General features: G+C 35.0%; 1 pseudogene across 6 annotated transcripts in view; it reads left to right on the top strand.

Moving 5' to 3' along the window:
* ANKRD20A2P (ankyrin repeat domain 20 family member A2, pseudogene) overlaps positions 1-26,605 on the top strand; it is a 60,257-nt pseudogene extending 33,652 nt beyond the window's left edge. Inside the window, exons 12-18 of one of the 6 annotated variants that reach the window (XR_007061496.1) lie at positions 1,667-1,737; positions 5,796-5,959; positions 7,387-7,567; positions 8,738-9,661; positions 11,198-11,347; positions 18,246-18,375; positions 26,519-26,605. The product of XR_007061496.1 is annotated as an ankyrin repeat domain 20 family member A2, pseudogene, transcript variant X1 (transcript). Of the gene's footprint in view, positions 1-1,666; positions 1,738-5,795; positions 5,960-7,386; positions 7,568-8,737; positions 11,175-11,197; positions 11,348-16,133; positions 16,251-18,245; positions 18,376-26,518 lie in introns of those variants that run through there. The other 5 variants (XR_004837499.2, XR_004837500.2, XR_004837502.2 and 2 more) reach the window with 5 other exon arrangements.
* The last annotated feature ends 224 nt before the right edge of the window (positions 26,606-26,829 follow it).

The raw sequence follows: 26,829 nt of genomic DNA on the forward strand, positions 1-26,829 counted from the left end.
TCTGGGTTGGGCATGGTGGCTCGTGTCTATAATCCCAGCACTTTGGGACGCTGAGGCAGGTGGATCATTTGAGGTCAGGAGTTCAAGACCAGCCTGGCCAACAAGGTGAAACCCCATCTCTAATAGAATACAAAAATTAGCAGGTGGTAATGGCACATGCCTGTAATCTCAGCTACTTGGGAGGCTGAGGCAGGAGAATTACTTGAACCTGGGAGGCCGGGTTGCAGTGAGCCAAGATCATGCCACTGCACTCCAGTCTGGGAGACAGAGTAAGACCTTGTCCCAAAAAAAAGAAAAGAAAAGGAAACTGATTTCTGCCCAAATCTCCATCTGTAGCCCTTTCCCCATCTGCCTTTTTCTCTGGAATTACTGAGCTGCTGGTAATGGCCCCCTCACCATTCCTCTTTTGCAGAGAAATACATACTCTCTTGGAGGCTTCTCTCCCTCTCTTGTTGCTGCCTGGCATGTGCTCACCCTTTCCTGCCCTCTGCCTCACTTAATCTGGCTAACCTTACTCTCTAAGTCTCAGCTCATGCATGATCTTTAGGAAAGCCATCCCTGACAGCTTTTATTTTCCTTCCTTATACCCCAGTGCCTAACACTTAGCAGGAACTCAATAAGTAATTATTTAGCAAAATTAAGACTGTTTATACAAAGATGATTCAAAAGATTGTCCTCTACAGTCTAACAGCAAAGGGGATCAACATGTAAAGACATGATGTGCAGTTCAGGTGGTAAAGTGACGCTGGAAAAGTTGACAAAGTACTAAGGAACTCCAATGAAGCAGACACCTGTGTGTGTGGAGAAAGACAGCTAGAATCAAGGAAGACTTCACACAGCATTCTGAGCCTTTTTTTTTCTTTTTCTGTTGTTGGAGACAAGTTCTTACTCTATTACCCAGGGTGGAGTGCAATGGTGTGATCGAGACTCACTGCAACCTCAAACTCCTGGGCTCGAGGGATCTTCTCACCTAAGCTTCTTGAGTAGCTGGGACTACAAGCACATATCACCATACCTGTCCAATTTTTTGTAGAGTCAAGGTTATCTATGGTTCCCAGGCTGGTCTTAAACTCCTGGCCTTGAGCAGTTCCCCCATTTTGGCCTTCCAAAGTGCTGGGATTACAGATGTGAGCTATTATGCCCAGCCTACTTTCTGAGTCTTAAAAGATGAAAATAAATTTTTCAGAATAGTAGGGGAAAACATTTGCGATGTAAAAAATGGGGTGCACACTAATTAAGGTATAAACAACAATAATTTTGCAAATTATTAGTAACTGCCAACTCAATTAGTGTCTTGTTAAAAAGATACTGTTATGAAGTATAGTAAAGTGTTACATTGTATATTTTGACTGTATTTCAAAATTTTGTTTTGTTTCTAACAGTTTTGTTGATTTATGTTGGGTGGAACAATTTGTGAGTGACCCTGAGATTTCATATGGCTTGAACCTGGTGATATCTAATGTCTCCCCAAGTGGTTTGTTGAAATTTTGGATGATTAGAAGTATTTCTTAAAGAACTAAATATTTCAGTAAACATTAAGCTTCATTGAAACTCTCAAAATATAAAATACAAAGAAATGTTATTCTCTATTTATTTTTATATAGATTATAGTCTTTATCTAACTGTTCTTAGTTCATTTGAACTAAACCAATGAATTTGTCAACAGAACAAGCCTTACCAGTGGCTTCAGAGGAAGAGCAAGAAAGGCATGAAAGAAGTGAAAAGAAGCAACCACAGGTATATGAAAATTCAAGTTTCTTGTTTAATATTGGGTTTTGTTTTTTTGCTTCAGTAACAAAGCATAGTCCAAATGACATGACCTTTTAGACTATACCTTTAGAATCCGATAGATCATAATTTTATATTTAATTTTTAAAACATCTTAACCAGTTATGAAACTTAAGATATTCTTACTATCTCTAGTAACTATTAGTTATTCTGGTAATTCTTACTATCTCTAGTAACTCATAGCTGTCTTTACCCTTGGAATTGAGGCAAGACATTTTCAGAATTATCTTGCTCTTTTATTGTTATAACCTTACTCATAATACAGAAGGTAACATGAAATATTGGGTCATATTATTAAGGAATAGAAATTGTGAACAATTTAACAATGATGGCCACTGAGTTAAACTAGTGTTAAAGGAGTCATCATTGCCAATGGTTCAAATGTTGCAGTTTTATATTGCTGGTCACCAGTGCCGAGGTTAAAGATTTATTCTGTTTTGTGGTCACCATTTGACTTCTGTGTCTGTGTTCAGGGAGTGAGTGGGGTCATAAAAGTCAACCCAGTTGCCTATTAAGAGAATCCTACCTTGTGGAATGGGACCTTTGGTGTCAGGGTACAAACAATAACTTTATTTTGACATAAATACATAGTAAATGTTACTAAAATTTAAAAAATCCATCCACTATCACTAGTGGAACTTAAAATATATTAGAAGTGGATATAAGCAGATAATCCATCTAGATACATAACACTATCATAGTATATTATTTGAATTAGAATTTAAATTTTTGCTTCCCTTTCTTATTGGTGTTCAGTTTGGCTCTTAATAATTCAGTGTTTGCCTAGTCTGTAGTTAATCTTCAGAAATATACACGTACTGTAGGGGCTCACTTTTTCTGGTATGCTGAGGTAAAATCTTTGTAAGAGAGGAAGATTTTATAATACTACCTATCAGCTTTGAATTCATTTCTGGTAGATTTTACACATAATGCATTAAGTTTAATCCAAACAAATGCTAAGCGTTCAGCTTGCCAGTTCATATTTCTGTCCTATGTTAAGCCAAGGCAAATTATTTTTCACTTTTTAGTTACAATCCCATAATTTAAGAGTGGCAACACATAGATTAAGTTTCACAGTTAAATTTTAATTATTTTCTAGTATTTTTGTTTATACTTGATTAAAGCTAATTTTAAAACATGCACTCTGACAGAAAAGGCATCTGAGAAACAAAACAAGCAAATTTGTTTTCCATTTTGCACCTGCCAAAAAAAAAAAAAGTCTCAAGAACCAGAACTGGGTAAGAATTGTGATAAAGGGAATAATCTGTCTGTATATTCACGACTTTCTTTAAAATTCATTACAAACAAGTTCAAGCTGAATATTGGTGAAAGTTTTGAAAACTCCAGAATTACTGCTTGCCCTGAGGAAGAGCTCCTACATAGTAACTCTAAAGAGGGACGAACAAAAAAGGAGTGCCCTCTAATCTGATGAATCAGGTCCCTGATTGTGAGGAGGAAGATGCATCTGGAGGGTCTAACTCTGTGGCATTCCAGGCAGCGCCTGAACAGAGGAAGCCCATGTCAAATGTCTTTTTATTCCATTCATACTCCAGGTCCCTGAAATACAGTTACCAGTCATCTTCTAAGCTTCATTTAAATGAAAATAAATCAGACTATAAAAATGATAGCAAACCAGACACATAGCTTGTTTCTAACACAGATGATGAAAATTTTTGTAATGATACTGAAACCAAAAAATTAAGGAACCCAGTAATTATGATTGAAATGAAAGATGATTAAGAGTTTGACATGCAAATGGCAAAAAATGTAAACCCAGATACCACTAATTGGAAATTGGACATTAGGCATTGGCCTCAGTCTAGAGATCCAGAAAGTCTTTTTGATTTGTTGTTTACCCACCCCAAAGAAATGAAGCATATGATTCAGATAGAAAGCCACAGTATTTCTGCTGCTACAGATACTTATAAAAACAGAAAACCAATACAGCGTTTATTCCAGCAGCCACTATATGGCAATCCCAGTGCTAACAACTACAGAAGCATGAATCTTGAATTATAAAATGTGAGTTATTCTTTACCACATAGTGAGAGAACATCAAAAATATAGCTAGAAGACTTATGGGAAGATATTCCAAGGTCACCAACATGGCACATGAATAGATATGTAACAAACCTGCATGTTGTGCACATGTACCAGAACTTAAAGTATAATAATAATTAAAAAAAGAATGAGGTAGGCATGTTACAAGTTGAGTTCCTGGCTTTGGAGAAAAGCAAGTCCAACTTCAAAAAGACAGAGGTTCACTTGCTGCTTCTTTTTCCTCTTTATCAATTATTTGATTTAGTCAAATTTTCTATTCAAGAAAATCTCATGTGTACAGTTACAGTGGGGTTATCTAAATGTGTAATTATGTGTCAAAGTAGATTAGTTCTGCTATCTGAATAATGGTTCTGGAGAATGTTCTCATAATGTTTGTTCATTAATCAACCTATGTCTCACTATCAGTCTTCCAAGTGGCGTATGAGCTGGGAAACTAATTAAGCCACATACCATGTGACCTTCTGAACCAGATCAACATAAAGAAATTGCTAAAGAAACAAGCTCTAGATTCTAGATTCTTTTTTCTTGTATTCATTTAGAGATAATTTACATTTATTTAATGATAGAATGGGAATACAATGGGAGGGAAGCAATGACTGAGACAAGCCACAAAAACACGTCTAGCCTTGAGAGTTGCAACGAATATTCCCAGCCAAATGAGTCTGTTTAATGTGTTTTCATGCATGCAAGTTTATCTGCTTAGCTCAAACTGTTTGAACTTACAGTCCCATCATGGTTATTTCCAATATTTTTGAAAACAAACATATACTTACACATATTTTAAAAAATCACCACTCTGCAATATTTCTGTTGAATCAGACCTTACGTTATGTTGTTTAATAAAGTATGGTAAGTTTTGGCATGTATGATTTTTATCATATAAGAAGCATAATTTCTTAGCCAAAAATTTAGCCTTTGACTCTTTAGTAGAAAGTTGAGTTCTGTACATTGTGTTCTAAAGATAGACAAAAATCTAGAGATTTTCTTCTTTCAAAGTAAAAGCAGATGAGGCCTTTTTCCACCCTCTGAGGCATTAAATTGCTTTGCTCAAGTTAGACTTTTAATATATCTAATTTGATAAATTTATCTGGTAATTTATGTAATTCAGCAATATGGAATTGTATCATGTTATATGGTGCCATGAAATGCTAGTGAATGCCACCTCAAGAGCTCTGGATGAAACATTTAATATGTCTTGGTTGGTTTGACTCCCATTATCAGTAGATAATGGGGTTAAAGTAGGTAACTGTACCATATGTTTTCCACCTATAAACTTTTGTGGTAATTGAATGTGAAATCTGGGAAGCATCTCATTTTCCAGAATTCTGCACTAGAAACTCAGCAGTTTCACTCTGCTTCTTTTGTTGTGGCAAACGTTGGTTCCCATAATTCAAAGAGAACCTTTACTTTTTTGATATCACAGGATTCAAAAAAAAAAAAAGAGAGAGATAAAAGGCAGTGGGGAAAAGAGTAGCTCAGTACAGAAAAGGGAAAACTTCTTTACTGTTCCTGAAGGCCTACAAGGTCACATCTTCTTAATCTGGCTATTTCATGTAAAATCCAGGTAGTAAAGACAGAAGACATATATTATGCCTGTGTCTTTTTATTTCTCTGTTTCTGCCAGCCAGATAGCATAAAAATTTATACCAGATAGCAAAGAGTGGATGGGAATAAAAGCACAAAATGGAGAAGAGCCCTTTTTGAAATTTTGGAAAATTCTTCTATTCCCTCAAACAGAAATGAGCAGATTTGACAAAAATTTCGATGATAAAATAAGAGTATCTTATAATTATAATAATTATGTATAATGATAAAATTAAAGTAAGCACAAAATACTTTTATCATTAAAGTGGTGATAGTTAACCTGAATCAAGTAATAAAAATCAGGGAAAAAGTTCTTTTTATTGAATAAAATAATAACAATTATTATTCATCTTTTATTAAAGGTCAAAGAAGGAAATAATACAAACAAAAGTGAAAAAATACAACTTTCAGAAAATATATGTGATAGTACATCTTCTGCTGCTGCTGGCAGATTAACCCAACAAAGAAAGATTGGGAAAACGTATCCTCAGCAATTTCCCAAGAAGCTGAAGGAAGAGCATGATAGGTAAGCCTATAGCAGTGTTTTTTTGTTTGTTTGTTTGGTTTTGGGTTTTTTTTGTTTGTTTTTGTTTTTTTGAGATGGAGTTTCTCTCTTGCTGCCCAAGCTGGAGTTCAATGGTGTGATCTCAGCTCACTGCAACCTCTGCCTCCTGGGTTCAAGCGATTCTTCTGACTCAGTCTCCCTAGTAGCTGGGATTACAGGCATGTGCCACCATGCCCGGCTAATTTTTTGTATTTTTAGTAAAAATAGGATTTCACCATGTTAGCCAAGCTCGTCTCGAACTCCTGACTTCACGTGTTCTGCCCACCTCGGCCTCCCAAAGTGCTGGGTTTACAGGAGCGAGCCACCGTGCCTGGCTGCCTATAGCAGTATTTCACAGGAGATAATTGTCATTGTGCTATAAACTAATTGAAAATTGGACTAATATTCCTTATGATTAACAAGTTTTATATTTTTACCAGGGGTATTTAGCCCTGCCTGGTATTCAGAAAAAAGCAAATTAACATAAAATAAGATATATTTTGTAAAGTCATGCTGATATTTAAAAAGTAATTATTAGTGTTGGCAAATGTGAGGAAAAAGGCATTCTCATACACTGTTGGTATAGGAAATTAGTAAATTATTTCTGAAGGGTAACTTAGTGCTGTGTATCAAAATTTCAAATAGCCTGACATCCCTTTAACTCAACAACTCCACTTCTGGGGCTAGATTTCACAGGAAAACATAACTGGTGTAAACATACACACACTTATTAATATATAATTAACATGCATTAATTATATATTACACATAATGAACAATAGGTTAATGAATATATAAAATATATGTAATAAGAAGGTGAATTGAAAGTATTAAGAAAGAAATATAAAAAGTGTGGGGAAACAGATGTTAGACTTTTTAGCCTAGTTTTGGATGACAGTCATCTGCAGATATAGTTTGTGTGAGAGACATCTGAAGGTGTCATCTCACTCTGTAAATCATTTGGAGAAACACCTGCAATATTTCATAAAGATGAAAATTTATTTCTAGTGAACTTATACGCTTGTCAATAAATAGTAACTTTAAAAATTTAGTTGATTGTAAATGATCTTTTCTAATTAGGGAGTAATTATGACTGTGTGATTTAAAAAGGTAATTTTGAACCTGTAACTTTACTGAATTATCTCTGGTATCCTTTTTTATAATATATATTAGAGTGACTAGTAACAAAAACTTTAGCAGAATATTCTTTCCTTACTACTTTTCAAGTATATGCATTCATTTGAAGATGTTGAAGTGAGAAATTAAATATCTGAGAACTGCAAAGGAAAAATAATCCAGAACATAGAAATTTTATTAGGATAATAAACAACATCTGCAGAGGTAGATAACAGGATGAACTCCTTATTTTTTAACAAAATGAATTTTAAGACAAATGTCTTTATCTGCAGATGCACCTTAAAACAAGAAAATGAAGAAAAAACAAATGTTAATATGCTGTACAAAAAAAATAGAGAAGAATTAGAAAGGAAAGAGAAACAATATAAGAAAGAAGTTGAAGCAAAACAACTTGAACCAACTGTTCAGTCACTAGAGATGAAATCAAAGACTGCAAGAAATACTCCAAATCGGGTAAATCAATCTTTGGTAAAAATTCTATATTTTAAACTTTATCTTATCACTGTTACTTATAATATCCACTTGATTTAATATATATTGTTTAGGTCTAAAACCATAAATGTTATCTCATTTTTAAAAATGAATGATGACACTTACAGGTACAATTATTAATATTTATTATAAATCTTGGCATCCACATAGGATATTATTTTATTACAAAGAGCTTTTGAAAACAATAATATGCCATAATTTATACTTAGTGATAACCTATTGATAAAAATTTTGTTCCAGGTAAAATTTTTCCTTGTACTTTCCCCTATTTCATATTGATTACTGCACCTAATATTATAAAGAGGAAACAGAAATTATTGCAATCGCAAATAATCTCATGATATTCTAAGAAGAGCTCTATAAATTTTATCTTATTTACTATTGGCGTTTTGAAATAAAAGTTTTCTTTCGTATTGATGTATTTACACCACAGAAGTAACTGTGATCTGTTGGAGAACTAGAAGTAGAGTCAGAAGTCCTGGGGAAAATCCTGTAGCTTGCTTATATTTTTAACATTTCTTTTTCAAAATTATGGTAACTAGATGAGTTCATCAATGAATGTATATAGGAGTGACTAGTATAATGTCTAGTTTATGATTTAGTGAATGTAATTCTTATAACTGACTATAAAAGTGTTAAAAGAGTCAAACTGAAATAGAATGTTATCAGTGAAACAGAACTGTAATAACTCTGGGAAATTTTATCTGTCCAAATATGTGTGAACAAAAGTTCTTACTATAGGGTGGTGTATGGGTTAGGTATCAAAGTGTAAATGCAATTTTTTGATATATCTTAATTTAGTCAAATTTGTTAATGCTTTAATTTATGCTTTTGAGTTTGTTGTAATTCAGGGAAAGGCTTTTCCAATTCTGATATTCTTAAAAATTCTCTGGTGTGTGTGTGTGTGTGTTTACTTTTATAAATTCATTGACTCTAAATACATTTCTGAACTTTCTGGAATTTATGCTCTATAAGGTTCAAAGTTTTGCTTCAACTTTTTCTCCAGGTGGATATCCACTTATGGTAAACTTTTTAGTGGTACGGATGTGCAGGTTATTCTTTAACTTCAGAGGTAATCATGATATGTTATTTTATTGAGTACTAGCTAAAACTTTCTTTTGTTTTATTTAGGATTTTCATAATCATGAAGAAATGAAAGGTCTGATGGATGAAAATTGCATTTTGAAGGCAGATATTGCTATACTCAGACAGGAAATATGTACAATGAAAAATGACAACTTGGAAAAAGAAAATAAATATCTTAAGGACATTAAAATTGTTAAAGAAACAAATGCTGCCCTTGAAAAGTATATAAAACTCAATGAGGAAATGATAACAGAAACAGCATTCCGGTATCAACAAGAGCTTAATGATCTCAAGGCTGAGAATACAAGGCTCAATGCCGAACTGTTGAAGGAAAAAGAAAGCAAGAAAAGACTGGAAGCTGACATTGAATCTTATCAGTCTAGACTGGCTGCTGCTATAAGCAAACACAGTGAAAGTGTGAAAACAGAAAGAAACCTAAAACTTGCTTTAGAGAGAACACGAGATGTTTCTGTACAAGTAGAAATGAGTTCTGCTATTTCCAAAGTAAAAGATGAGAATGAGTTTCTTACTGAACAACTTTCTGAAACACAAATTAAATTCAATGCCTTAAAAGATAAGTTCCGTAAGACAAGAGATAGTCTCAGAAAAAAGTCATTGGCTTTAGAAACTGTACAAAACGACCTAAGCCAAACACAGCAGCAAACACAGGAAATGAAAGAGATGTATCAAAATGCAGAAGCTAAAGTGAATAATTCCACTGGAAAGTGGAACTGTGTAGAAGAGAGGATATGTCACCTCCAACGTGAAAATGCGTGGCTTGTACAGCAACTAGATGACGTTCATCAGAAAGAGGATCATAAAGAGATAGTAACTAATATCCAAAGAGGCTTTATTGAGAGTGGAAAGAAAGACCTCGTGCTAGAAGAGAAAAGTAAGAAGCTAATGAATGAATGTGATCATTTAAAAGAAAGTCTCTTTCAGTATGAGAGAGAGAAAACAGAAGGAGTAGTAAGTATCAAGGAAGATAAATATTTTCAAACTTCTAGAAAGAAAATTTAAACATTTGGTTCTGGATACATGTTGAACTTAGTTGAATATAAAAATCTAGATTAAAAGTGTGTTTACCATACTGTATAATTCCATTTACATGAAGCATCCAGAAAAGATAAATGTATAGGGACAAAAAGTAGATTCATGTTTGCAAGGGGCTGGGGCTGGAAGCTGGTAGTGACTGCTAATGGGCATGAGGAATCTTACAGTGATGGAAATGCTCTAAAGTTGGATTGTAGAGATGGCTGCACAACTCAGTAAATGTACTAAAAATCTTTTAACTTAAAACAGATACATTCTATAGTATGTAAATTATATTTCAACAAAGCTGTTTTAATAAAAAAAGGAAAAATGTGTTTACTATATCGGCTTAGAAACATGCCTCATTTCTAGGAAATAAAAGATAGAGGTGAGAGATGATTTACTTTGAGAAAAGACATTGTGTCACCTATGAAATTTTATTAGGCACAGAGTCATATTTTAAGGTAGATAGTTCTGTATTGCTGAAATAGTAATTTTAATGTCTTTATGTTGCCACATGTTAAGACCATAATGTAGTTATAAATGGAAATGTTTACACCTGAAGTGAGTATTTTCAAATTAAAATTTAATTAAGTGATTTTCTTCGACACTTAATTCTAGATTCCCCAGATGAATTGAAGTGTATTGCTGTGTCTTGTAATACCTTGCTTTAACTAGCTTTTTATGTATTTTAGTTGGTATAGCTTTGTTATTATTCATATTAACAAATCTGAAAATATGTCAAATTACGTGTTTTTATGACCATGTAATGTTTTAAAGGCACCTACTTGTTATAAAATCATAATTTAGGATAAATGTGGTAAAACTTAGCAAAACTATATTTGGTTTAGTTTTCCCACTGGTATTTATAGTTTACTTTGAATATTTATATTAATAATTAGCTCATAATTTTTATTGCAAGGCTCAATGACTGTCATTGGAATATAATTTTGTTCAGTACAAAGATACTTGTAGCTGTCTGTGATTTACGAGTTAGGCACTACATCTCCATTTTCAGACTGAGGGGTGGCAGGCTTCACATACAGTGGGAATGGAGTAATTACAGGAGGGAGTTGTAGGAGCTTTGAAGTCAGAGAGGGAGGTAGAGGCCTTTTTACCTAGGGCCTCAAAGGCCATTGGAATTTTACTTTTATTCTGAGATAGGAATCTGTTGGAAGGATTTGAACAGGTGATTGAATATGTTAGGAACTTTGAGGCTGAGTTGAGCTTCTGAGATGATTGAATGTTGGAATGAATCTGTTGTGTAAGTAAGAGAATACCAATTTGGCAGGAAGAGAACATATTCTGCATCCCTCACTGAATTCAGTAATAAATAAAAATGTGTACATGTGATTAAAAGAAGGTGAATTGATATGTGTGGTGATAATTTTCAAAGTAGATATGTTAGAATTAAACATTATTAACATAATTTAATAAGGCAGTTTATAAAATCAGTAACAAATATTTTATCAGGTGGTTGTGAGACAACTTCAACAAGAAGTGGCTGACAGCGTAAAAAAATTAACGACGTTAGAGTCTCCACTGGAAGGTATATCACGTTGTCACATTAATTTGGATGAGACACAGGCCTCAAATAAGAAATTATTTCAAGTGAAAAGTCAAGTATGTATGGAATTTAACATGTCAACAGTTATTCTGTAGCTAGTTGAATTATATAACGTGTTTTAGGATACTAATTTTGGCAGAAGCTTGATTTTTTATTTTCATTATAATGAATGATTTCCATTTTACTATCTTTATAATGTACTATTTTTTTATATTGTGACTTTCATTATACCATTTTGAAAAACCATTGCATACCTTTTCTCTTACAATATGTACCCTTGGAAAAGTTGAGAATTATACATCATTCCTCATAGAAAATTGACTTTTTTCCTGTTAAACAGTATTTTTAAGTAATTTGTGTATTGCTCTGATGAGGCAAGCCAGATTAAATCAGAGGAGAATGTTTCATGGAATGTTCCAGAAAATTGTCTTATTTCTTCACTTTTGTGAATGGACACAGAATCTGTGTCTATTTGTTTCACAGATTCTAGGTTAACTTGTACAGAAAGGCCATTATACTATTCTTTGAAATGTGCATGTTTTAGGTTAATTTACAAACTATTTGAAAAGTTAGGCATTTTCTTTATCTTTTATTTAAAATATACTGTAAAACTGTAGAAATATTTAGATTTGATATAGCATGTACATCAAAAATTAAGAGTTGAGAAAATTATCTTGATCCTGCCTTTGGATTTTAAAAAGATTCACTGAGATGTCATTCACATATCAGACAGTTCAACCATTTAAAATGTACAACTCAGTGTCTATTAGTATGTTCACAGCATTTTCGTCACCCTGAAAAGTGACCCCACATCTCCTAGGCATGACTGCAGCCTTCCTCCATGTCCCTCCACCTACCCCTGTTGTAGGCAACCACCGTCTACTTTTGTCTCCATATGTTTGCCTGTTCTGCATATTTCATATACATAGAGTTATACAATATGTAGTCCTTTGTGACTGGCTTTTTCACTTAGCATAATGTTTTCAGAATTCATGCATGTTTTAGCACACATTCGTAGTTTATTTCTTCTTATAGTTAAATGATATTCTATTCCATGGCTATACTGGTTTTCCATTCGTTCATCAGTTGATGGACCTTTAGGTTAGTTTCCACTTTTTAGCTATTATGAAAAATGCTGCTGTGAACATTCACTTACAGGTTATTATGTGGACACGGGTTTTTATTTCCCTGCCATTGGACTTTATCCTCAGAGTTAATTGGGCAGATTTCAGCACTTGTCTTGCTCATGCTATTCTTTCTGCCTTCTCAGTTTCTGTTCATCTAGCCTCATTCATTCAGACCTGGCAGACAATTTTTTTGTTTTCATGAAGCTTTCTCTGACTGTTCTGTCATTGACCTTATGTGTTAGCAATCGTTGTCTAGTCTGTGCTGAAAAACTTAGTCCTTAATTTTACATGGCTTTTATTTTTTTATGGAAGATAATTTTCTCTCATTATAAATTTGCTTAATGGGGGAATAATATATAATGTGTATGCCACCTATCCTTGCATACATTGAAAATATTTTAGCTTAGAAGTTTGTAGCATACAATTCAATCATTTATACCATACCAATTATTTCTTCTTTGAGACCTTGACACAGTAAGGTTATATTCTAAATATATTTTTAGCAATTAAATATCAAATCTAACCCAATTAGTCTAACACAGGAGATGCGTTCAATCACGTGTTTATGTTTTTCTCTCTATGAAAAAGAATATAAATTGGCCTTTTTTCACTATGCAGCCATTACTGTGTTTCTGGACTGCTCCCAGTCTGTCAGCTGAACAGTTCTGGGTGCAGCTTGTCTGATGAAGGATAGCACAGCCCCTCAATCTGAGTGCTCAGCAGAGTGCTTGTGAAGGCAGCACCACAGCAACAGTTGCTCAGAGGGAACGGATTCAGGAGCCTTGACTTAGCAATAGAGTCCAGGGTTTTCAGCTCAGTGTCTTTAGCCTGTCTCTGCTGGTCATGTCAGTTACGTACTATTCCATCCAGGAGGTGCTATTTACATTGTAGTACATACACAGTCATTGCCTAATGAGTCATACAGAGAGAAAAGTAAGTTATAAATTATGTCCCCCATTTGCTGCAACTCTCAGTGTTAAGAATGATTCAGTGCAGCTATAGGAGACTACTTCCATTGGCATGCCACCTGCGTAAATACACAATTTTGTTAAGATATACAATAAAATTATTATGCTAATAGCAAATATTTTATGTAGCTCACTATGTTCCATGTAGTCTTCTAAGTGCTTCATGTTAGTCCCCATTTAAACACCTGGTTTTGGAAGGCTGAGGCAGGAGGATTGCTTGAGCCCAGGAGTTTGAGACCAGCCAGAGCAATATAGTGAGACTCTGTCTCTAAAAAAAAAAAAAAAAATTTTTTTAAACACTTAGCTGAGGCATGGTGGTGCATGCCTGTAGTCCCAGCTACATTGGGAGGCTGTGGTAGGAGGGTTGTTTGAGCTTGGAATATTGAGGCTGCAGTGAGCAGTGATCAAGCCACTGCACTCCAGCCTAGGTAGCAGAGGGAGACTCTGTCTCATAAATAAATCATGTTGTATAGATTCCCATAGAAGTGAGTTAGACATCAGGCATAGAATTATTAGCCGCTTTGATGTCTGCCTTGGGAGTAAAACACATAATAAGGGGCAGCTTTAAACCATCTCAATCAATAGCCTCTAACTTCTCCAGAAGGTTCTTATTTCATGAATTTCTAAGCAAGGGACTACCTGGATTAAGACATTTGGTAGACACCATTTTGAGATGAAGAATCTTGAATGGGAAGAAGGGAGATCTCTACTTACTGAAGCTTCCCGATGACATAGTTGAGTGTCCCCCAAAAGGAACTTTAGAACAAGATGTTCATCATGCCATATCTCTATGGAAAAGGAAATTATTTAAAAGAAAACAAAGGCAAACAATTGATAATCTGATTCTCATGGGAAAGTTTTCATTATCAAAGAAAAAGAGGGCTGGGTTCCATGGCTCACATCTGTAATCCCAACACTTTGGGAGGCTGAGAGGGGTGGATTACCTGAGGTCAGGAGTTCAAAAACAGCCTGGCCAACCCAACATGGTGAAACCCTGTCTCTACTGAAAATACAAAAATTAGCCAGGCGTGGTGGTGTGCACCTGTAGTCCCAGCTACTTGCCAGGCAGAGGCAGGAGAATCACTTGAACCCAGGAGGTAGAAGTTGCAGTAAGCTGAGATGGCACCACTGCACTCCAGCCTGGATGACACAGTGTGACTCCATCTCAAAAAAAGAAAAGGACAAAGTATATTGGTCCAAAAAAGAAGAAAGAATGAAAAAAAGGACAAAGTATACTGGTTAGTATCGTAACAGTGAGATAGTCCCCCTTTGAGATTAGAAAATAACAGTATACTCAAAGTAACATCAATAAGAACCAACATAAAATAGACAAGATTCACTATCTACAAAAGTAATCTGCACCAAGTAGCAATGTATGAGCATGTGGTGGAGAATATTGTCTATAATATGTGTACTAGAAGGAAGAGACCTCAAGAAAAAGGTCAGAGCTGGAAATGTAGATTAGGGAATCTAGGTCAAAGTTTTGAGATTTTAGGAGTCCTGAGAGAATTTAAAAAGCGAAATAGCCACCGGGCGTGGTGGCCACACCCATAATCCCAGCACTTTGGGAGGCCAAGGCAGGCAGATCATGAGGTCAGGAGTTCAAGACCAGTCTGACCAACATAGTGAAACCCCGTCTCTACTAAGAATACAAAAAATTAGCTGGGTGTGGTAGCACATGCCTGTAATCCTAGCTACTTGGGAGGCTGAGGCAGGAGAATCGCTTGAATCCAGGAGGTGGAGGTTGTGGTGAGCCGAGATCATGCCACTGCACTCCAACCTGGGTGACAGTGGGAGACTCCATCTCAAAACAAAAAACAAAAACAAAACAAAAAACCAGAAAAGGATAGGGCTGAAGAACAGAGGTTGCTGCATTTAGAAAGGAGGCGGGGTCAGAGGAATAGAAAGGGATAGGGCTGAAGAACAGAGGTCACTGCATTTAGAAAGGAAGTGGGGTCAGAGGAGCAGAGGGAGCATTTGGTCACTGCTCTGCTGAGTAAAGCAGGATAAAGTCCTTCATGACCGTTGGACTTTTTTATTGGAATTATTAAAAATCAGATTTCAATATAAAAAACACAATAATTGATGAAAAAAGATTTCTGAATGAAACCATGTGTCATAGAGTCCAATGGAAGGGGAGAAACAGGATAATAGAAAAGCCACAAAAAGTAGACGAAAGTTGTTTTTGTTTATTGTAGAAAAAAATAAACTTTATTTAAAGAGAAATGGTTAAGAGAAAGGGAAAAACTGAAACCTGTGGGTGAATACTTAGAATGACAGTATTTAGCTCAGCCTGAAGACAGATGAGGATGAAAAATGTAATGGGAACTAGATAAGAGTTTTCTAAAATTTGTCTTAGTAAGATGTAATTTAAGAGAACTTGGAATATCTTAAACTGTTAAAAACAATATTTCTAGAGCATCTTTAAAAACTAAAATGTAAATATAACTACTCTTTTTTTTTTTAACTAACCCTTAGTATTTTGTGTGTAAAAACCCTCATTTGTAACAAACATTGTTGGCAGTTTAAATTTCAGAAAAGATAATGATGAAAATTTGAATCATTTTTAGCAGTTTTAAGAAAAGTGACTATTATTGAAATCTGACCTTATTGGCATCAGGTTTATAAAATACACTTTATACACCTGCATAAATACGTATTACTAATCCACTTATGAGAAATAATATTTTTGAGATAAAAGAGGGTCTCCAGATTTTACAAAAATAATTTTAAACACTTTTTTTAAGCCTAAAAAAGAAAATGAAGAATTAAGAAAACTTTTTGAGTTAATATCATCACTGAAGTATAATGTGAATCGAATAAGAAAGAAAAATGATGAATTAGAAGAAGAGGCAACTGGGTATGGTTTTCATATTGTAGAACATGTTAGCCATTTATTAATTGATTTAACTCTAATTTTACTTGACTAAAACCTAGATACAAATTCATTTTATGTTTGCATTTTCATAATTAAATGAATTCTGTTTTAAAATGTATTTCAGAAACTCACAGCACAACTTTTTAGACGTGTGTCATGGGGGTGGGAGTCAGCTGAGCTGCTGGGGCAAGGTGAAATTTTTTTTGAATGCCAAAATATTCTTTTTTTTTTTTTTTTTTTTTTTGAGAAAAAGTCTGGCTTTGTTTCCCAGACTGGAGTACAATGGCGCGGTCTTGGCTCACTGCAACCTATGCCTCCAAGCAATTTTCCTGCCTCAGCCTCCTGAGTAGCTGGCATTACAGGCATGTGCCACCACACCCGGCTAATTTTTGTATTTTTATTAGAGACGGGGTTTTGCCAAGTTGGTCAGGCTGGTCTCGAATTCCTGACCTCGTGATCTGCCCGCTTCGGCCTCCCAAAGTGACATGAGCCACCATGCCCAGCCACTTATTCTTTAATGATTTTGAAAACAATGACCACGCCTTGGACATATAATGTCCAGTGCACTCTTCATTATCTGGTTTGAATTTTTATTTCTGAAGATATTTTTTGCTGTCTGTGGTCATTTTTTCTTCCTTTTGTAGTATCCTCTGCTGCATTCAAATTGTTTAAAGAAGACCTGTTTGTGTCATTCTTTAACATCAAATTTATCTTGATATGTAGCTTATATTTTGTTTCTGCTTTTTCTTTTAGATATAAAACGTGGAAATTTACTCATTGTACATGAGTACCTCTGTTGTATACATGAAGTATACATGTTATTAAACTTGTTTTACATAAATAAATTTCATATATATAAAAATATACGTATAACTTAAAGAAAAAGTAAAATGAACATTCATGTTTTGATCACAGATTTTTTTTAAAACAATGGAATCTGTCTTTGAAACCCTGAACACAGCTACTTTTCTATTTATTTACTGAGCACTTAATTTGGTTTTCTGATTAGAATCAACATTTTTCTGTCATTGCTTTTCTCTACATGGTTTTGTATCTCTTTCATTTTGTTGACATTATGTCAGCAAAGATGTCTAGATCTCTTCTTCAAAGTCTTTAAATCGTCACACATCTCTCTGCCCCTTTCCTTTTTTCTAAAACTGCCTGTATCCTTTTTCTCCTCAACTCAGATATTAAAGATGTTTTCTTCTCTTTTTCTACATTGAATGATCTCCTTGATGCTTTTTGTGTGTACTTTTTTTTCTTCTGATAGACTGTGGTCAGTGGGTATCAAAATGTACTTTTGTGTCTTTTTAAATGTATGTGTTTTACTTTTTTATCTTGGTTACTCATCTCTGGGTTATGGCTTATATTTAGTAATACGTTATTTTACTTAGCATACCAACATGGATATCAGTAGTTTATTTACAAAAAGTGTATGGTTAGGCCAGGTGTGGTGGCTCACACCTGTAATCCCAGCACTTTGGGAGGCCAATGTGGGTGGATCATTTGAGGTCAAGAGTTCAAGACCAGTCTGACCAGTGAAACCCCGTCTCTACTAAAAATACAAAATGAGCCAGGCGTGGTGGTACACACCTGTAATCCCAGCCACTTGGGAGGCTGAGACAGGTGAATCACTTGAGTCCAGGAGGCAGAGGTTGCAGTGAGCTGAGACCACACCACTGCACTTTGGCCTGGGCAACAAGAGTGAAATTCCATCTCAAAACAAAACAAAAAACAAAACAAAAACACTGTATGGCTATAATATCACTTTACCTGCCATATATGCCATAAAATTGTTCTTCATATTATTTATCTAAGATTATAATTTCATATAGAATGCTTTCAAACTATGTTCAGTTGAAACTGAAAGTAACATAGTTTATAGATTTGTTTCTTTGATATGCCATAACAGATGTTTAAACAATTATTAAATATTTACTCTTAAAAATACTTGACTTACTAATTCTGTACATTTCTGCAGATATAAGAAACTCCTGGAAATGACAATAAATATGTTAAATGTATTTGGAAATGAAGACTTTGATTGCCATGGAGACTTAAAAACAGATCAACTGAAAATGGATATTCTGATTAAGAAGCTAAAACAGAAGGTAATTTAAAAAAATTATTTTATCTTAAGGTCTAGATTACATGTGTGAGACGTGCAGGTTTGTTATATAGGTAAACGTGTGTCATGTTGGTTTGCTGCACCTATCAATCCATCACCTAGATATTAAGCCCTGCAGGCATTAGCTATTGATCTTGATGCTCTCCCTCCTGATCCTAATAGGCCCCAGTGTTTGTTGTTCCCCTCCCCGAGTCCATGTGTTCTCATCATTCAGCTCTCACTTCTAAGTGAGAAGATGCAGTGTTTGTTTTTTTCTTCCTGCATTAGTTTGCTGAAGATATCAGCTTTGAGCTCATCCATATCCCTGCAAAAAGCATGATCTCATTCATTTTTATGGCTCCATAGTATTCCATGGTGTATATGTACCACATTTTCTTTATCCCGTCTATCACTGATGGACATCTGGGTTGATTCCATGGCTTTACTGTTGTGAATAGTGCTGCAATGAACATACAAATGCATGTATCTTTATAATAGAATAATTTATATTCCAACGTATGGTAATTTTAAATCAGTTTTGGTATTAAAAATCATGTAATTTTGGAAAATATTGATAATGGAAAAACCCAAATTCTGCCAAAATATGTTGAGAAAATAGAGGGTAAATATATCTTTTCAGACTTTGAATGCCTCAGGCTCTTAGTTAATCTTCCCCAGATCTGGGAAGACCTAGAAGGGGAGAGATTGGGCTACATTAATGAGGACCATTTCAATCTCTTGGCCCTGCAGCAGCCATTTCAAAATATGACAAAAAATATATTTTGGGGTAAAATATTTTGATTTCCTTCAGCTTCTTCTCTCTGTGATGCTGCACCAGAATCAGGTTAGAAAGGAAGCCACATTATAAGAGTTAATAAAACCCATCTGATGAGATTTGATAGTTTGAAGGGTGTGATTCCCAGACCCTTTAGATAGAAATTGGGGCCAAGGAAAACAAGGTCTTATTCCTCAATATAAATCTGTCAGTGCTTTAAGCAGTGAAAGATTTTTCATTTAATTTTACAGACTTGAAACTAATGAAAAGGATAGCTTTTAAAATATCAATCTCTTTTTCTATGAAAAGGACATGCTGTTGATTCTCTTAGGCCTTGAACCCTGGCCAGTGATCTGAAACCAAGCAGTACCTGTCTCCAGATCACTACTACCAAAATCACTAGTACCAAATTAATTTGGGGTGGGGGGTAACAGGTTTATTGAGAAATAATGAACACACCATGCAATTCACTCATTTAAAATATACAATTTATTAACTTCAGTATTTTCAGAGAGTTATGCAGTCATCATTACAATCAATTGTAGAACATTTTCATCACCCTAAAAACAAACCCCACATCATTTAGCTATCTTCACTAGTTTTCCCTTCCTCCCTCAGCCCTAGGTAACCACCCACCTTCTTTGTATAGATTTGCCTATAAGCCTCTGAAATGAAAAGCAAGTGGTCTACTGTGACTGGCTTATTTCACTTAGCATAATTTTCCATGCTGCATCTGTGCTGCAGCAGGTATTGATGCAGGGTTTTTGCTCCTTAGTTCAGCTCAATCTGGTTTCTTCTCTCATGACCAGGAAAAATTAAGCACACAGACACATTGAAGGGTGAGGAGGACAGAATTTATTAAGTGAAAGGAAAGCTCTCAGCAAAGAGGGGCGTCCTGCAAACAGGTTTCCACCTCACAATTGAATACCAGGAGCACAGGAGCTGAAGCGGCCAGGCTCCTGCTCTGCATAAGGCGTGAATTCCTGGTGACTCCACCCCATCCCCCCAGTGCTTGTGGGCCTCGGGTCTGCTGCCGGCATGTCCAGGCAAGACAAGTCCAGGTTCCCTTATCTGCACATAACGTCTGGTGTAAACACTTGTGAGGCTTGTTGGGGATTCTCCGGGGACCCTTCCTTATCTGCCTAGGCATTTTGCTGTCTCCTCCTAATACAGTATCAGTACTTAGTTTCTTCTTATTGCTGAGTGATATTCCATTGTATGGATACATCAAACAGTTTATTTATCCATTCACCAGGTGATGGACCTTTGGGTTCTTTCCCACCCAAAGGTGATGGACATTTTGGTTCTTTCCACTTTTCACTCTTATTAATAATGCTGCTGTAAACATTTACGTATGAGTTTTTGTGCTTGCATATGTTTTTGATTTTCTGGAGTATATACTCATGACTGGAATTTCTGGGTCATATGGTAACTTCATGCTTAACCTTTTGAGGAGCTGCCAGTTTGTTTTCCAAAGTGGCTGCACCACTTTACATCCCCAGCAGCATTGGATAAGGGCTTTAATTTCTTTACATTTTTCCTAACACTTATTTTCTCTTTTTTATTGAATAAAGGTTTCATCCTGTGGTGTGAAGTGATACCACACGTGGTTTTGATTTACTTTTTCCTAATGACTAATTACATTAAGCATCTATTAATGTGCTTATTATCCATCTTTATATCTTCTTTGCAAATATATCTATTCAAAATCTTTGCCCATTTTTTAAATTGGGTTATCTTGTTATTTATGAATTGCAAAGGTTCTTTATATATCCTACATATGTAAGTCCCTTATCAGATACATGCTTTTCAAATACTTTCTTCTACTCAGTATCTTACCTTTTCACTTCTTGATACTGTCTTCTCAAGCACAGCAGTTTTCAATTTTGAAGTTCATTGAATCCATTTTTCCTTTGGAGTCATAGCTAAGAAAACACTGCCAAATGCAGTCACAAAGATTTATGCCAGGGTTTTCTTCGTACTTTATTTATTTTTTGCATGTGGATATCCAGTTGTCGCAGCACCATTTGTTGAAAAGACTATTCTTTTCCCATTCTGTTCTTTTGTTAACCTTGTATAAAATCAATTGACTGTAAATGTGCAGGTTTATTTGTAGATTATCAATTCTTAGTTTGTTTATATCTATTCTTATGCCAAGGCCAAATTGAATTTAATGAGAAGATTTTTTCAAGCATGTTGCATATTACCAGTTGTCTTATATCATAATAAAAATTAAATTTAGTGGAATATCTTTAACTTCACCTTTTGTGCCTCAAAGGAATCTCTGGCCAGCTTATACCTTACTTACTCTAAGACATGATGGCAAGTCAGGCTTACAAGACACTCTTTCTTTTTTTCTCTATTCAAACCTTTAGTCTCTTTTCCATTGCCTCCCTCTATAGTTATATTTTCAGTAAGTTTTCATCACAGGATCTGCTGATGTAGTCTAATATTTAGTGTATTATGTTTTGCTAACTCATTATAATTCATAGAATCTTCCATAGATGTTTACCATCCAGGAAGGAGAAGTCTGAGCTGCCAGCTTTCCTCAGTGGAAATCATGTGAAGTCATCATGTTGTAGTTCGCAGATCCTCTTTCCACCTGGTAGCTGGTTCTCTTGGGTAGCTCTGCATCTAATCCTTTACTTGGTGCAGATCTTGCATTCTCAGAAACCACAGTTCCCTGTATTGACCTCCTTTTACTGAAACAGAGATGCACAGCTCTGCTTTCTAGCTCAGTAGAGGATTCTTGGGATATAAAGTTTAACTCATTCCAAGAAAAAGTCTTAGGAGTGCAGCACTTCAAAATCAGGTAATGTTCAGGCAATTTATCAGAGACAAATAGTAGATTAGTATTTTGACTTTTGAAATTTCGGAGCCAAGTTGTGTGCTGTAGAGAAGCATTGTGGTATAATACAGAGATGGGATGGTCTTAACTTCTCCATACAAACAAGCTTGAAGTAAGATAAAGGAGAAATTGCATTTGATGTCTTAACACTCAAAGCATATTGTGCTTATTTTACTTCTGTGAAGACTAAAAATCATTCCATAATGTTCTCCTTATTTCCTCATTGAGAAAAGGAAAATGAAAATTGAATACTAGATTGATTAATAAATACTCAAAGCTTATTCTTTTAGAATTTTCATTAACTGAAATCAGGCAAATGTCTGATTTTGGTTATCTAACCAAGTATTTCTAGTTGTTTTTCAAATCATACTTCTTCTTTCTTTGCAGTCTTATTTCCTAACTTGAGGGGAAATTGTAAGGAGACACCCTTGCCTTGTTATCAGAGTTCATAATTGAAGGGGGTTTTAGGAAATGTTCCTCCTCAGCAGCTTATGTCTCTCTCCTGGTTATCTACTGCTTCTCAATAATGTTTGCCATCAATAAATTAATCTCAACATTTATTAGATCCTACTTTAAAGGAGACTCTTTTCTCTGCATAAGTTATGTTTCCTGTTGTCTCTTTTTAAAACTTATTTTTCTAACAATTATCCAGGTTTTTGTGGCTTAAAAGAAAAACATTTATTTTGTTCATGAACCTATGGTTTGAAAAAAGCTTAGCCAGGACAGGTCATCTCTGCTCCCCTCAGCTTCCCTAGGAATAGCTGATCAGTTGGGGAAATGGAATCCTCTGAAGCTTTGCTCACCCATGTGTTTGATGGTTGATGCTGGCCATTGGCTGGAACCTTGGTTGGAGCAGGCAGCATGAATATTGACACTGACACTCCCAGGCTGTCTCTCTGGCCTGATCTCACTCACAATCTGGGGGCTGAGTTCAAAGGGAAAGCAGTCTGAGATAGGGAAGCCACATGATATCCCTTTTACTGCATTCTATTCATTAGAAGGAAGTCAGTAAGGATTGCCCATATTCTGTTTTTTTAATGGGATAAATATAGCTTCTCTTTTGTTTTAATTGACATGTATATACATAATTTTGGCCAATAGAGTGATATTTTGATACATGTATATAGTGTGTAATGATCGAGCTAACTAGCACATTTACTACTTCAACCATTTTTCATTTTTTGAATTGTGAACATTCAAAATCTTCTGCCTTTTTAAAAATATACAATAAATCATAGTTAACCATATTCACCCTACAATGCCACAGAACACCAGAACTCATTCCTCTTATCTAACTGTAATTCGGTATCCATTAACCATCCTCCCCTCCCCTACCTCTGTGAGCTTTTTTGTTGTTGTTAAGAGACAGGGCCTTGCTAGTCCAGTCTGGGCTCTGGGCATCTGTAGTCACCCAGACTAGAGACAGTGGCTTGATCATAGCTCACTGCAGCCTCAAACTCTTGGGCTCATGTGATCCTCTGACCTCACCCTCCTGAGCAGCTAGGATTATGGGCATGCACCATTGCACCTGTCTGATTTTTGACTTTGTAGAGCTATCTACCTATGTTGTCCAGGGTGCTCTGGAACTTTGGCCTCAAGTGATTCTCCTGCCTTGGTCTTTCAAAGTGCTAGGAAATTACAGGCAATAGCCATGTTGCCCAGCCCTCAGTTTTTCTTTAGCTCCCACATATGAGTGAGAATGTGCAGTGTTTATCTTTCTGTGTCTGCACTTAACATACCATCCCTCAGACTGATCCACATGGCCACGAATAACAGGATTGAATTCCTTTATACGGTGAATAGTATTCTACTGTGTTTGTGTGCCACAGTTTTTTGTCCATTCATTTGGTTATGGACATGCAGGTTGATTCCATACATCAGCTATTGTGAATAGTGCTACAATAAACATACGAGTACAGGTATCTTTTTGATCTATTGTTTTCTTTTCTATTGCCTGAATACCCAATAGTGGGTTTGCCGGATCCCTTGGCAGTCCCATTATTAGCTTTTTGAGAAAACCTCATGTTGTTTTCTATAGTGGCTGCACTAATTTACCTTCCCACCAACAGCATGTTAGAGTTTACTGTTCTCTGGAACCTCACCAGCATATGTTATTTTTTTGTCTTTTCAATGATAGCAATTTATTCAAATTGAAGCAAGATTGTATCACATTGAAGATTTGATTTTTATTTCCCTGAGGATTAGTGATACTGAGCGTTTTTAAATTTATTTATTGGCTATTTGTATTTCTTTTTTCTAAAGAAAAGTATAGTTAGATATTTTGCCCAATTTTGAACCCAGATTTTTTTTTACTGTCAAGTTTTTTGAGTTTCTTGTATATTTTGGATACTAGTCCCTTATTAGATGAATAGTTGACAATATTTTCTCCCATTCCACTGGTTTTCTCTTCACTCAGTTTGCTGGGCAGAAGCTCTTTATCTTAATGTAATACCATTTGTCTATCATTTGGTTTTTGCCTATGCTTCTGATGTCTTACCCATAAAAATCTTTGTGCAGACTAATGTCCTCAAGCATTTTTCCTCCATTTACTTAGAGTGGTTTCATAATTTTAGGCCTTAAATGTCAGTCTTCAATCAATTCTGAGTTTATTTCATTATGTGCTGTTACATAGGAAGCTAGTATCATTCTTCTCCATATGGATATTTAGTTTTCCCAGTGCCATTCATTTGAAGAGACTGTCCTTCCCCCAGTGTATGTTCTTGGCACCTTTGTCCAAAATCAGTTGGCTGTAAATATGTGGATTTATTTCTGGGTGTGTATTCTATGGCCTTTACCCCAAGAATCATTACTTCGTAAAATGCAATTCAAATTAGCATGAAACATTTGCAGTTTAAGGAAAGGCTTATGGCATCAGAATCCTTATTTACAGGATTCATTATTTTGTGTTTTTTTGAGATATGGTCTTTGTCTGTCATCCAGGCAGAAGTGCGGTGATGTGGTCATAATTCACTGCAGCCCTGAACTCTGGGTACAAGCCATCCTTTTGCCTCAGTCTCCCAACTAGCTGGGTCTAGAGGCATGAGCCACCATGCCAAGCTAATTTAAAAAAAAAATTTTGTAGACATGGGGGTCTCACTATGTTGCTCTGGCTGATCTCAAATTCTGGCCTCAAGTGATCATTCTGGCACAGGCTTTTAAATTGCTACAATTACAGGAATGAGCCACCATGCCTAGTATAGAGTGTTATATTATTTTCAAAGTCTTATTCTGAGAGCCATTTATTGACTTTGGCCTAAATAACTCAATATGATATCTCTGAAACTTTTTTTTGACATATTATGGGGAATGATAATGAGGGAAGGTGGTTAGACACTTTTTACTAAGAGATAACTTAGTGCCATCTAAGGAGGAACAAAAATGAATTATCAGAAAAATAAAAGTAAGATGAAGTGCAAAAGTTCTGTGGCAAAGATGATGATAGCAAATAATATATTTTTGTGACTCATGGTAGCTTTAACTTTGTTCTTAAAATTCTGAGTAATTTAAGGGTTCACATTTGAAGAATCCACTGCATTACGGATAACATTTTATTGCAAGTAAATGCATTTCAAAATTTGCTATTGGTTTTGTATTAGATTATTCTCAGCCTACTTCATTATCAAGCTATATTATTTTATTCATGCAGTTTGATGATCTTACGGCAGAGAAGGAAGCTTTATCTTCAAAATGTGTCAATTTGGCTAAAGACAATCAAGTTCTTCAACAGGAGTTTTTATCTATGAAAAAAGTACAACAGCAATGTGAGAAACTTGAGGAGGATAAAAAGATGTTGAAAGAAGAAATATTAAATCTTAAGACACATATGGAAAACAATAGGGTAGAACTTAGTAAACTACAAGAATATAAATTGGAGCTAGATGAAAAGGCAGTGCAGGCAGTAGAAAAATTAGAAGAAATCCATTTACAGGTTAGTTTTTTAAATCAGGTAAGTTTATCTGTAATGTGCTTTCATTTATTTCACCGCAAATTATATTTTGGATATGTATATATTATGTTTCCTCTGCCTCTCTTGTAGCAATTTGCTTTGTAGAGTTCTAGAAAAAAAATGGCATCTGTTTTTTCTTTTAAATATTTACATTTCCATTATTATTATAACAAAATCAATCTTTCAGAGTAATGATTCTCACTGTGGAGTCATTTGATGATTAAGATCAGTTGGCATAAGAAACAATTGTGATTTCAAAATTATGTGATACTTTTGAATTGGTCTTAAGCTACATTGTTCATTAATCACTTTTTAAAATTATGAATGGATTCTATTACTTTTTATATGACCAGATTACATTAATACTAACATAATTATGATTTCAAATTTTTATAAATCAGACAATTCTGAATTCAGTTATTAGTTTTGATCTTGCTGATAAATATTTTAAGCTTCAGCCTCTTTTACTAACATATTCACAATTGCTCTTTGAATCACTGACTCAAAATGAAAGGCAACAAACATATAATAATTAGGTTATAATTGTTTTAAAAGTGTATTCTTTTCCTTTGTTTTAGGAACAAGCACAATATGAAAAACAATTAGAGCAGTTAAACAAGGATAATATGGCTTCACTAAATAAAAAGGAACTCACACTTAAAGATGTGGAATGTAAATTCTCAGAAATGAAAACTGCTTATGAAGAGGTTACAACCGAATTAGAAGAATATAAGGAAGCCTTTGCAGCAGCATTGAAAGCTAACAATTCCATGTCAAAAAAATTAACAAAGTAAGTCAAAACATACACTCATAGAAAATGAATTAAGCTCATTAATTTGTTTTGAAAGCATAATTTTTAGTGAGATGGCTTCAGGAGATTAGTAGGAAG

This window comes from Homo sapiens, chromosome 9, assembly GCF_000001405.40.
Source record: "Homo sapiens chromosome 9, GRCh38.p14 Primary Assembly".
NCBI lineage: Eukaryota > Metazoa > Chordata > Mammalia > Primates > Hominidae > Homo > Homo sapiens.